At 35.1% G+C, this 14,193-nt stretch overlaps 1 long non-coding RNA gene across 4 annotated transcripts in view; it reads left to right on the forward strand.

The window, feature by feature from the left end:
• Positions 1 to 14,193, forward strand: part of LOC102723370 (uncharacterized) — a 366,694-nt gene that overhangs the window by 16,942 nt on the left and 335,559 nt on the right. For 3 of the 4 annotated variants that reach the window (XR_931110.3, XR_007062621.1, XR_931109.3), the window contains exon 1: positions 12,509 to 12,579. The exons of the other annotated variant lie outside the window; for it this stretch is intronic. This is a non-coding gene — a long non-coding RNA (uncharacterized LOC102723370). Of the gene's footprint in view, positions 1 to 12,508; positions 12,580 to 14,193 lie in introns of those variants that run through there. 4 annotated transcript variants of the gene reach the window in all.

Genomic DNA, 14,193 nt, shown 5'->3' on the forward strand with positions numbered 1-14,193 from the left:
TTTGTCATAGCCATTGAAAATGTATGGTATTTACTTTTCTTTTTTTTGTGTGTGTGTGTGTTTATTCACCATCATAAACATTCCTAGCATGTATAAACACTACTCTGTTTGATATTGTGCTGACTTTTACATAAATTATCTCATGTAAGCCTCATAAAAATTTTCAAAACAAATATTATGAACCTCACTTTATTGGTTAATAAACTGAGTCTCAGGTTAAATAACATAGAAAGTCATATCACTAGTACTAGAGCTGGAAGTGAACTTTTTCTACTTCTTTCAAATACATCAGGTAATCTTCCCTGGCATACATTAGTGATCTAAAGGGAAGGGACCATGTTTTATAACTTTTCATTTTTTTTTGAGTGCTTAGCATGGTGTCCTATAAACCCTAGGTTACCTTGAAATGTTAGTTGAAATTCAAAGGCTAAAACGATGTTCTTTCATAGAAATTAATCTTAAGGAGAAAGGAAACTAGCAAAGACTACAGAATATTCATATTATTAATGTCCACAAGGTGTATCTTAAAGTTGGGAAATTTATCCCAGCAAAGATTGTAAATATTATTTTAATAGCACCAACTATTGGTATTGTTTTTGAAGAATAATAATAAAAACTTGCATTTGGAAAACTTCCTAGTTTATGACATACTTTTACCTTCTACCGTTGTCTTCAATCAATGAATGATTTTCATTAATAAACTTATAAATGCACCCCCAAGATATTATGCCAATGAACAGGAAGGAATAATTGCCTTAAACTGGAAAAGTTTAAAATAAATTCTTAGTTTAAAAAAAATCAGCCAGCAACAGGATATACTTCATCTGGCTGTAGCATTTTGTAAAGAATGGACTTGTAAGTCCTCCTACTTAGCTAAGAAGGCTTTTCTAGGTGTAGTGAGCTGTTTCAAGCAAGCCATTTCAATAATGCAAGAGTGTAAACTACTTTAGAATTACACTGTAAACAGAATTTTCAATCTTGTATTGCAATTATACATTAAATGCAGAATCAGCTTAGAATATAGAAATCCCCAAAACTGTTGACAGGAATAAAAAAGGGACTTGATTCTGTAAACAAGGGCACAATTTCCCAGCAGCTGGCTTGGGTTGCCCAGCAGCCACTCAATTAAGTTTTTGCTGCATAGGCAAGTTCCACAGACGTTTATTGTGAGCAACACATTCATGGAAAAAACTGGGCACTGAATACCTACATTAGTCATCTCTTTTTTTCCTCATTCTTAAAATTGCCTCAATGCAGAATAATGAAGCATGGGAGCCAGGCATGACAATGTGGCCAAAATCATGGATATTAGAATTGATTTGTCTGGGTTCAAATAGGAGACATGGCCCCTAAAGGAACATGGGCAATTAACATTTTAATGGTAACTTAGCCTTCCCATCTATACATTGGGGATAATGTTTCTATCTACCTCTTAGGCTTATTGTAAATTCTAAAAGATACAGTACATGGAAAAATATTATCTCAGAGCTTGAAAGTGTAACTCCTAAAAAAAGTATATATTTTTTCTTTTTTATTGACACATAATAGTTGCACATGTTTGTAGGAGAAACAGTAATATTTCTATACATGCACACAATGGATAATGATAAAATCAGGGTAATTAGAGTATCCATCAACTGAAATATTTATCATTTCTTTTTGTCATAAACATTCAAAATCCTGTTTTCTAGCTATTGAAAATATATAATAAATTATTATGAACCATATTTACTCTACAGTACTATGTCACTAGAACTTATTATTTCTATTTAACTGTAATTCCATGCCCATCAACCAATCTCTCCCTATCTTTTCTTCCCCGCTACCTCACAGCCTCTAATAACCAGAATTCTATTCTCTACTTCTATGAACTCATTTTTTTTTTAGCTTCCACATATGAGTGAAAGTGGATGGTATTTGTCTTTCCATACCTGACTTATTTCACTTAACATCATGTCCTCCAGGCTCATCCATGTTGCTGTGAATGACAGGGCTTCATATTTTAATGGCTCAATAGTATTCTATTGTGTACATATACCACATTTTCTATATCCATTCACCTGGCTGTGGACATTTAGGTTGATTGTATATCTAGGCTATTGTGACTAGTGCTGCAATAAACACTGGAGTGCAGGCGTCTCTTCAATATACTGATTTCCTTTGTATAAATATCCAGTAGCGAAATGGCTGGATCATGTAGTTCTATTTGATGTTTTTAGAGAAATCTCCATACTGCTTTCCATAGAGGCTGTACTAATTTACATTCTCACCTACAATGTATAAGAATCTCGTTTTGTCTGCATCCTAGCAAGGACTTGTTATTTTTTATCTCTTATAATAGCCATCATAATGAGGATGAGATGATATATCATGGTGATTTTGATTTGCATTTCTCTGATGATTTGTGATGTTCAACATTGTTTCTCATATACTTCTTGGTCACCTATATGACTTCTTTTGGCTTTGTCCACTTTTTGATCAGATTATCTATAATTAATGTTGAGTTATTTGAGTTTCTTATATATTCTGAATATTAGTCCTTTGTCAGACGAATAGTTTGGAAATATTTTCTCCCATTCTACAAGTTGTCTTCCCTCTGTTGATGTTTCATTTTCTGGGCAGAAGCTTTGTAGTTTGATATATTTCTATTTGTCTATTTTTGTAATTTTCACTTGTGCTTTTTAAATCTTACTCATCAAATCTTTGCCTAGACAAATGTCCTGAAACATTTTCCCTATGTTTCCTCCTAGTAGTTTTATCGTTTCAGGTCAAACATTAAAGGCTTTAAACCATTTTTAGTTTATTTCATATACAATGAGAGATGGAGGTCTAATTTTATTCTTCTACATATGAATGTCCTGTTTGCCCAGCACCATTTGTTGAAGAGAGTGTTCTTTCCCCAATGTGTGTTCTTGTCATCTTTGTTGAAAATCAGTTGGCTGTAAATACATGGATTTATTTATGGGTTGTTTGTTTGTTTTTGAGATGGAGTCTTGCTCTGTCACCCAGGCTGAAGTGCAATGGCACAATCTTGGCTCACTGCAACCTCCGCCTCTTGGGTTCAAGCGATTCTCCTGCCTCAGCCTCCCAAGTAGCTGGGATTACAGGTGCCCACCCCCGCGCCTGGCTAATTTTTGGATTTTTAGTAGAGACAGTGTTTCACCATGTTGGCTAGGCTGGTTTCAAATGCCTGATCTTAGGTGATCCGCCCACCCTGGCCTCCCAAAATGCTGGGATTACAGCTGTGAGCCACTGCGCCTGGCCTATTTATGGGTTCCATATGCCATTGCATTGATTCATGCATCTCTTTTTATACTAATACCATGCTGTTTTGGTTATTATAGCTTTGTATTATTTTTGAAGTCAGCAAGTGTGATGCCTCAAGCTTTGTTCTTTTTGTCCAGTATTGCTTTAGCTACTCAGGGTCTTTTGTGGTTTATCGTGAAGTTTAGGATTCTTTTTCCATTTCTGTGAATAATGTAATTGGTACTTTGATTCTCTAGATTGGGTAGCATGGTCATTTTAACAATATTAATTTTTTTCAATCTAGGAGCCTCAAATGTCTGTTCATATTTTGTGGCCTCTGTAATTTTTTTTTATCAGTGTTTTGTAGTTTTCATTGTAGAGATCTTTAACTTCCTTTGTAAATTTATTTCTAGATGTTTTTTAGTAGCAATTATAAATGGGATTGTTTCTTTGATTTCTTTTTCAGCTAGTTTATTATTACTGTATAGAAATGCTATTGAGTTTTGTATATTGATTTTGTATACTGCAATCTTAATGAAATTTATCAGTTCTAAGAGGTTTTTGATGGAGTCTTTAGGTTTTTCTTTATGTAAGATTATGTCATCTACAAAAAGGAAAAACATGATGTTCTCTTTTTCTATTTGGATGCCTTTATTTCTTTATCTTGCCTAATTGCTCTAACTAGGACTTCCAGTACTTTGAAGAATAAGTGTGGAGAAAGTGGACATTCTTTTCTTGTTTCAGTTCTTAGAGGAAAGGCTTTTAATTTTTCCCTGTTCAGTGTAAGATTAGTGGTTAGTTTGTTCGTTTTTTTTCCTCACTTGCCTCTTTTCCAAGGTGGTGACTATATAAAGGTTACCTCTCCAGTATATGTTCACAGTCACAAAGGGAGGCCTACGAGGGAATGCTGTGGTTTACTCTAATATGGAGAGGTGTAATCTCGTCCCTGGAGAACTCCTGTTGGTGTTTGCCCAGGAATGACTAATTCCCTATTTTTGGAGTTGACAACCACTGCCAAAACTCCTGGCATGGACCCTGCTCTGTGGCCAACTCATGCTGCTCCAATTCCTCTGATAAGTTCCACTGGCAGCCCTCTTAGCAGCTCTATACCCTGCTGGCAGGGCACACAGGACTCCTGGGGCTACTGCACATGGCATGTTGACCATGGCCAAAGAGGGAGTAGCCCTGAGTACTTATTTCTAGACCCTTTCCTCTGCCCTTGCTCCTCTGCTGCTCCTAAGCCTTGCTGCATGTGGTCAGGAGCAGCATACTAGATATTATTAGATTTTCCCGTTTCTTTCAAGGAGTTTTATCACTCCAATTTCCACTTTCATCAATACCTAAAGTGTTGGAAATTGTGGGTTCCTTTTAGGGACTCATGTAATATTCTCTCCATGGATTCATCCCCTGTAAAACATCCTTCTACTTTAGCAATGAGGAGCTTCTACTTGCTTTTCCTACCTGGGAGGAACTTTCTTTAGTTAATGCTCTGTCACCACTACATAATGGTTCAATGAAAAAAAAATATGGTTCAAATTATCCAGAACTAGATTTATATTTTAAAGGGATGCTTTAAAATTAATAAAATTCTTATCACTATAAAATGGGGTGTTCATTACTAATGTCTTATAACAGACTTCTTTGACCATCCAAAGCACCCACAATTACATTCATTTTAGCATTTATCACATTGTTTTATAACTGTGTACTTATCTATCTCCCCCTCTAAACTACCTGCTCTTCAGGGCATAGACAGATTCATTAATGCATGAACAGATGAACTTGAGCAGGAGGAAAGGGACCAGGCCTGAACCACTTGATCAAAGTAAAGATGAAAAAACACTTATGAATCAGTAAAACATGTATGAGCCAATAAGACGGTTTCCATTTTGTTCCCAGAAATGTTTACTATGTTTATGCCCATAGAAACCTCAGCAAATTCCGGACTTAAGAAATAAATTTTTATGGCCTGTTGTAACACTTTATTTTTTGTGTTTCTTAGAAGCCTAAAAAGGAAACCAGTATACTTAAATATATTAGTAAAATATTTGTATCGTTAAAATATTTGTAGTTTTACACATAATTGGGAAAAGGTAGCATGGTGTGACATGGGAAATTCTTGACTAAGAGATACATATTCTGTATTCTAGTCGTGCCATAGTTCCTCAATAGCTGCATGATGCTGGTCAAGTCATGTAAAGCTTAGTCCTCAGTTCCATGGCCTGTACACATTAAAACACTCACTATTAAGTTGCTACAACATTTAATTTGTGTAAGCTTCATATTCAGAAGATGTAAAGTCAGATGAGAAAAACACTACTTGAAAAAAATGTTATAAGAACTAAATGAGGCTATATTTAGAAAAATATGTTGTGCAGTGATAAGAATATAATAAAATATAAGATTTATATTTAAGATATATTAGGCACTTATTATGAGCTTACAAGAATTTCCTATGTATTAACTTACTTAATTCTCACAACAACTTTAACAGAAATCCACATAGTAGTTGTTATTATACTAACCTGACCCTCTATTGGCAGTATCAGATAAAGCTTTTCAGTTCTCTCAGCATCTAGTCTGTGTCTTGAATCATCATGTTTGCTCCATCTCACCTGCCACCAGGGCTAATTCTGTCCATGCTCACATGGTTCTGCTTCCTGAAGCTGATCAGCTATGTGCTCTAACAGACTTTGGATTCAGTTGAAGGGCCATATCACAAGGTATAGGACCTTGCACCCAAGGTGGTTACCAAATGGGTGAAGTGATGTAAACCAGAAGTGCAAAGGACATAGCTTCCTCTGGGGGGAAATGTTGATCACTGTGCATCAGAGGATAGGAGAAAGTAATTAGTCTTTTTTTTCTTCTCCCTTCAATAACAGTTCTGTCTATTCACACTTTCTGGAAACACACTAGGAACCTAAGCCAGTGTACTGACTCTGTCAACTAAGTGTATTGCCCTCACTCAAATAATGATACAATAACCAGTGTAACAATACATTGCTTCTCATCCTTCTCTGCCTTATTTCCCCTTTCCTTCACTTTTAATGTCCCAGGATTGCATGTCCCAAATCAGCATTGGCATCTAAATATTGCAACAGGCTCTGCTTTCCTGGGAATCAGGGTTAAGATAAATTCCTCCCTGACTATGATACTGATGAGAAACATAGTAATGACAGCCTCTTATATTTGTAGAATGCAATGCAGTTGTAGAGCTCTTCATCACTTTATTTTTCTCATGAGTATCATTCTACTCCAGTTAACAAAAGCTATTGTAAACAGAGCACTATAATCTCAAACTTTACATAACATTTCTTTAAAAAATATTTCCATACTGAAGTATTATTTATGTACAATAAAATAAATGCTCAAATCATAATTGTTGAAGATTGTTTAAACAATCTTAATTGTTTGATGATCTTTAACAAATAAAATTTCCTGAACTGTCATCACCCAAGTCAAGATACAGAACATATTTATCATCCCAAAAAGTGTCATGATGACTCTTTCTAGTCAATCATTTCACTTCCAGAGGCAACCACTCTTCTGATTTATATAACCATATACTAATTTTGTCAGTCCTTGAATTTTATATAATTAAATTATAGCATTTTATATCTGGCTTCTTTCTCTTAGAATAATATTTTGAAGATTCGGCTATGCCCTTTTGGGTTTCAGTATTCCATTACTTTTTAATGCTGAGTGGTATTCCATCTAATGATTGTACTGTAATTTGTTTACCTAGTTATTTGTTTACTTTGAATGACATTTCTTGTTCACATCATTTTTTTATTAACTAATAGCCAACTGATAATCTGAGCATGAGGACAATTTGTCTCTATCGATAGTATATACAGAGTAACTCTCTGTATCTGGATCAAAAGTGATAATTAATAATGGACTCTAGAAAATAAGCCTCTTACAACTAAATTTGCAGATGTGTGCTCTGCAAAACATAAAGTTCTAAGAACTGATTTTTTATAACAAAAGTTTTTGTAATCAAATAAAATGTGAAAACTCTGTAACTCTCTCACAAACATACTAGCTTCTTACAAGCTCTGAGATTTCCTGCAGTTAAAGAACCTTGTTTATTGTTTTGAACCCAGATTTCCAAAGTTTATTAACCTTAGAACTCCCCCTATTTGGAGTTTTCTTATTTATTTTAAAATCGTTGGTCTACATACATTTTTTTAGCTATCTATCTATCCATCCATCTGCATCTGTCTACATATGTACACACATACACCAATGCATAACATTGTACTACTACTAACACACATGTACATACATGTTTTTTAATGGTATGCACCTAACTGGATTATTGAGGCAGTTATCAGATTAATTTAATGAACAGTATTCTAACCCAAGTCTAATGCTCTATAAGAACAAATTCTCCTGTACTTAAGGAATAAAAACTCATGAAATATGCAGATCATATAAAATCCCCAACTGTTGGTATGAGGCACAGAGAAAGGTAGAGAGTTTTCCCAAAGCTACATTAAAGTTCATGGAAGAGCGTTAAAATTTTTTCCAATGATCCTCTCTAGTTTGCCTCTTTATATATATTAAACATTTTTGAAAATAAATATACACATGGAGATGAGGGATCACAGAAAGTGGGGCAAGCTGCATGCCCACTGGGGAGTGATGTGGTATGTATGTGTGTGAGGGCTGAAATGAGGGTAAAGGTGGATGGAGGAAGGGGATGATAGAGAGCAACTGAATGTCCGTGAGAAAGAGTGTAGAAAGGGCAGAGTGGGGGTGTATGGAAGGCCAATGTCATATCCTCTCCATAGAACAGGACTGTGTGTGCTATGACTATGGATTCTTGGTAAAGGTATCTTAGACTTTTCAGTTCAAACAAATTATACAACTGAGACTCTCATGAGAATGTTTCCTTTTAGATTTTTGTATGAAGACATTTGACACAGGTCAATAGTAAGATTCCTCTACAAGAACGTGTGAAAAATTATGACTCATAATTAAAATGTAGAATGAATGTATAATGCCAAAGATCCAAGATAAGCAAAAACATCATAAGAGATGGAAAGAAAACTAAGCTCTTCACCCAAGGGATTAACTTCTCTATAGAGAAATGTGCCCATTAGGAAGCAGCTCATCAGTCAGGAAGTGCAGAAAGGAGGAGCTAGAGATTCTAGTCCAGTCAGTTTCTATCCTCCCAGTGCGAAGGAGAGTCCTCATACAAATCCTCAATATCCCAGTCCCTGTGGCCAAGTGATTTATGCTGTGTAGATTTTCTCATTGAGACATCAGAGACTATGTCTGGTGATACTCAACACACTCACAACCACTGAGTGACCTGACATATTTCCATGTTCAGCAAGCAAATTTAGGTCGTAATTTGGCTTCCCAAGAAGATTTGCTTAGTGGGAGAGTGAACTGGTCATATTGATGCAAATGTACTCATCCTTTTGACAGTTATACTTCTCATTGTAAATCAATAAGATAGGCTCTGCTTTTTACATCACTCATCCTAAGTTTGATTTGTGAGAATTCAAAAGAGCACTTCTTAATATGCTAACCAGTTATATGCTTAATATGCTAACCAGTCTTTGAGCTGGTGAGGCTGAAGGCCAGCCTGTAGACCATGTCAAATTCTCTAAGACAAAGACAGCCAGCTGGCTTTTCCCTTGAAACCCTCAACTCTTCTGTGTTTTTAGCTTCAAATCTTTACCAATCCTATCCAGAAATGAAACATATGCCTAAAGCAAACTAAAGATTGCATTCAATGAAAAAATTCCTTTAGTAGGTGGGTTTTTCCCAAGCCCAGGAAAATACTAAATATAGTAATTATTAAAGAATACTGGAAAAACAATTGAATTTTTCCTGTCTTCAAACCTTCAGTTACATTTACTAAGATGTCAAGTTAGCTTTTTATTTCTGTGGCATATTATGTAGAGGGGAGTTTAGGTGCAAAAATTTATATTTTCAATGATGTGCACTAATGATTTTAGGAAATTGCCATATTGTTATTGCCCTGTTTTAATAAACATTGTATCTAAGGTATTCTCTGTGCTTCAACGCAGGTAAGATAAGCTAATTTATTCTAATACCTATCTTCTTGACACTGAGTAAATTCTTCCTAATGCACTAATTATGACTCCAGATAGACCAATGATTATTTCATATATGCTAATTAGGAATCACTTTATTCAGTCAGCCATACACATCAGTAAACAAGTGTAATGAATTCCCCAGGGAGGTGATAAAAAGACAATGATTTGCTTTTCACTACAGCTTGGAGAATTTACCCTACAATCAAGGAGTAATTAGAGAAGAAAATGAAGAGTTAGAAAACATATTTGCAGGTGTGAGCACTTGGCAAAGCATGTTTCTTTGCAAAGATGAAATTGAAATGGATATCTTCGTTACTAAACATATATGGAGAAATACGTTAGTTATTATGCTCTCCTTTCATAAGTAAGCAAAAAAAGATACAATCAAATGTAATCATCTCATTTAAATGCTAGATTTACACAAGGGCAAAAAATGAAATCAACTCAGTATGTTCCTAATTATTTATTATTTTATTGTAGGGTTTTACCCCCTCAATATCAAGCTTATTTTGCAATAGACCTCTCATTCTAACTTTGAGTTCATTGTTGAGTGATTAAAATAAGGAACAGAGGTGGTGGTTAGGAGACGCAGAGTCGTTAAACTAACTGATTTAACTGCTATCTGTATTGGACTTTGCATTTTCCATCCTAATTTTTGCTTCCAAAGACATTTTCAAAAACTGTCATGTTGAGGGAAGAGGTATGGCTTTACAATACATCATTTGTTATCTATCTATTTTTTCTTATCAAGTCAGATGTCACAAGTACAAGCTGTATTCTTCCAGTATAGCTTTTAGACTTAGTTTGACTCTATTTAATTTGCTTGCTTGCCAATTATTGTTACGTGGCGCCAGTAAATACAATCTTATAACTAATAATGATCCATGTTAGTTATGGTAAAATTCTCAGAGGTTCTATAGTTCACATTAGGGGTTGAAAGAAGAACATTTTAATTATTTGGAAAGCAGTCAAACAACAAATCAAACATTAACAGACTAAAAGCTTCTTTATAAAATTATAATTTAGCTTCTGGGCTTTAATAATAACTTGTTTTTCTGACCATGGAAAGACTTTAGAAAAAGTAAGCAAGCCATTCTATTAGTCGTAATTCAGGAATAAAATCTTGAACTCATGAACAACAGCCTGAAATAAGGGAGAAAGGTCCCAGCTTATTAAAATTAATGTCAATCAGTTTAGACAGGAAATCAATAATTGTCCACTTAACATTGTCCATTCTGCCATAATAGTGAGAAATAAGCTTCATATCTATTTTAGTTCCACTGAAACTTTACTAGGAATTTATTGTGGATGGGTAAGTTTAGTCATTTTGGAAAACACCTTGGAATAATTTGCCAAAATAATCATAGGCTTCATGCATTTAGCTGTGTTTCCTCTGTTAGTCTAACTTGGACTGATCATCAGAGGAAACCATGAAAAAAGATTTTGAAAGAAGAATGTGCAAGAACGTAAACATTGGTAGCATCTTTTGAAATCTTAAAAATCATCTTTTTTATTTAAATATGTTTGCTAATAAATAATGGGTTTATGACACTATAATAACACGTGTTTCAAAAGCAGAGATTATCTCAAAAGTATCATAATTCTAGTTCTAAAAAAGGAGCACATTTAGGCATAGGGCAATCATTTACTATCTTCATTTAATAAAGTTATGAAAATAGAAGTTATAGTAGCTCATGGATGATGAATTGAATGGTTATGACAAATGATGGGTTCCATAGAGAGGTAAGACTATTGTATGGTTCACTTCCTTCTAAATACTAAGTCCTAATTTTCAGATATATGTCCCACAAAAACCATTAGAGGAAACCATCTGGAAACTAAAACTCTCATTTACTCTTGAAAGGTTTACAGACATATGAGACGTTTTTTTAAAAAGAGGAAGAAAGTGAGAGAGCGATGATATGTTTATTGTGCACTGAGTATTAGTGGAAAGGAAATATTAGGATAGGTGTTGGAAAGGACAGGGAGCATCTAGCTAAAATATCTTACTTTATAAGAGAAAAGACAGATTTCCCCAAGAGCATTAGCTAATCAAAGGCAAAGCAGGAATTTGGAGGAATATTTTGGGGTTTCTAATTTAGCGTTCATTCCACTGTATCCAGCAATCTTATTTTTTCTAGCCCCAAAAGGGAAATTTTAATTTTAGTTTTCCTTTAATCATTTTTGAAATAAAATAAATTAATAAAATAGGGAAGCATTTAATTCTAGGTGATATCATGTTTTGCATTACGCTGAAATAATTGCTGACTTTAGGTGTGTAGGTATTTCTTCTCTCAGATTACTTATGTCATAATAACAAATATCGTAACATATCTCCATGAAACAAAATGCACTTAAATTCAATGATATTCTGTCACAACCACTCTTAAGAAATTACTCCATGAAGCTTTTAGCTTTAATCATTCAAGAACTCTACTAGAAAGAAATAATTAACGACCCCGTTGCAAGGTGTTAAGACACTGTCAAAAATGTTAAGCTCTGATTAATTGCTTTTTTATTTGAGTAGACATGAGATGCTCTTATGCTTTCCCAGCATGTAAAATGTCTCCTCAGAAGTAAAATAAAGCCATCATAAAAATAAACACGTTCTTATATGTCCAAGGCCTTTTAAAAATAAACACATAAGAGATGCTAAATACTGAAAGATGGCTGTCACCTAAGAAGAGGGTGGAGGCCATTCCTATATCAAAGTGGTAGTGGGTAGTGTCAAAGCATTCAAGTGGTGATTTAAAATGTAGCCACTTGAATCGTATTACAAACCCATACTATTTACGTTTGACTCTTGGCTCTCTACTTATGATCTGGATGATTCTGTGGAAGGTATCCAAATTACCCTGTGTTACCGGTGGCATATCCATGTGGGTGTGCAGCAACTTCAGTTCTTGCCTCCTCAGAAGACAGAATTCGACTGAGGGGTATAAGGCAGAGAAAGACACCAAGACACTAAAGCAAGTTTCAGAGCAGGAGCAGTTTATTTTAAAAGGCTTTCGAACAGGAAAGAAAGGAAAGTTCACTTAAGAGATCCAAGTGGGCTCCTGAAGATCAAAGAGAGCCTTTGACCTTGATCCTAGGGCTTTATAGGCTTGGGTCTTTCCCATGATTCTTCCCTTAGCTTGGGCTTCCCGCATGCGCAGTGCCCTCCTTACCCTTGGGAAGTGAGCACGCGCAGTGCGTTTAGGAAGTTGTACGCATACCCAACTGAAGCTTTCTTCCCTTCTCCAGTGGAGTGCACCTGGTAGGTCGTTTTTTGCCATTTCATCTCTTAACACACATTCCCAGAAAGTTTATTCTCGCTGGCATCTGCAATTCAATTAGTTCTTTAGTGTTGATAGCTGTGGATTTGATAGCTGTGGATGGTCAGGAGATTGTCTTCTCCCTGGCGCCCAGGCACTGGCTGCCAAATTATTATTTTTAGAGAGCAGTGTGATAATCGTCAAACCATCACCTGATACTCCTAGTGAGTAGGGGGAGAAGAGGCCTCTCCTGCCCCACTCATGCCAATCTAACTACCTGTAACATTTGCACAGGTGAAATAATCTCTCTCTACTTAACTTGTCCCATCTGTATAATGTGACTAATAATGGCATCAGTTACTATTAGGGCTTCTGTGAGAGCTAAATATGCTTGCTAAAAAATGAAAGAATAGCATAAAGCAAGCAATCAATAAATTTGACATATGCTGCAATGACAATTATAAACTCCCTTTCCTCTCTGATCCATTCCTATGTAGATTACCTAGAGAGGTCTGATCTTAGCAACAGATGAATGGGACATTGGCCAAAACCAATTTTCATATTTTAAAAGTCAATTATGGATTGTTTTATGTAAAAATATAGCAAGGCATTTGATTAAATTGGAAGTGAAGGTTTTAATCCGTTTTCTAGTCACATTTGCACCCTTAAATTCCATGTTTCTGAGACACTTTAAACCATTGACAAATTAAAAATATTACAATAAAAGACACAATTCTAACTCAAATATAAAATGCCTTGGCTAAAATATCTATTCCAGAGTTAAAACTATTGGCTAGCTTTGGGCTTAAATAGAAAAATCACAATTCATGATGCATCTTGAATTAAATAGAATATAGTTTAAATTTGGCAACAATTTAATTCTATTGGCAAATATTTCCTGTATCATTATACTCATTTAACAGCGACTCCAAAGCATAGGTGGAGATTAGTGTTTTCAGCCAACTAACGAAGCATTTATTGACCTGCTGCTGAGTACTGATTAATATCCTAGGAGCTAAGGTGTATCTTTAAGTTTCTCATTTACTTCTATTTTTTAAAATATACTGTCTGAAATAGAAAATTAGTAAGTCATATAAATTCAATTGAACAAACATTTATAATACCTAGCACTATGCTAGATGGGTAAGGGGAAAGTAAGATGATTGAAATAGGATGTCTTTCCTTAAAAATAATACAAATTTGCCGGGGAGATATTTATAATCATAATAATTGATAGATGTTACATGTTGTAGTAAGTACTTTATATGTGTTGTCTCGATTCATTTTCACAACCACCCTATAGCTAGGTACTAACCTAACTCATAGTAAGAAAATTGTATCTTAAAGAGGTTGAGGGACTTTCTCAAGGTTACATGATAAAGGCTGGGAGAGGTTAATCACTCATTTGCATCACCACGGGTGGAGCCTCATTGTTCTACCTCTGCGTAGGCCTCTGAAATCTCCAACAAAAATAGCTCTAGGCTTCTGCAACTAGACACAATATTCCTTCAGGAGCTTCACACATTCTCTCCTTCCTTACAAATTTTAGTATATATAGCCAGGCACAGTGGCTACTCCAGAGCCTGAAGAGCAGGCTTTCGAGGCCAGCCTAGGGA

Source organism: Homo sapiens, chromosome 11 (genome assembly GCF_000001405.40).
Source record: "Homo sapiens chromosome 11, GRCh38.p14 Primary Assembly".
Taxonomy (NCBI): domain Eukaryota; kingdom Metazoa; phylum Chordata; class Mammalia; order Primates; family Hominidae; genus Homo; species Homo sapiens.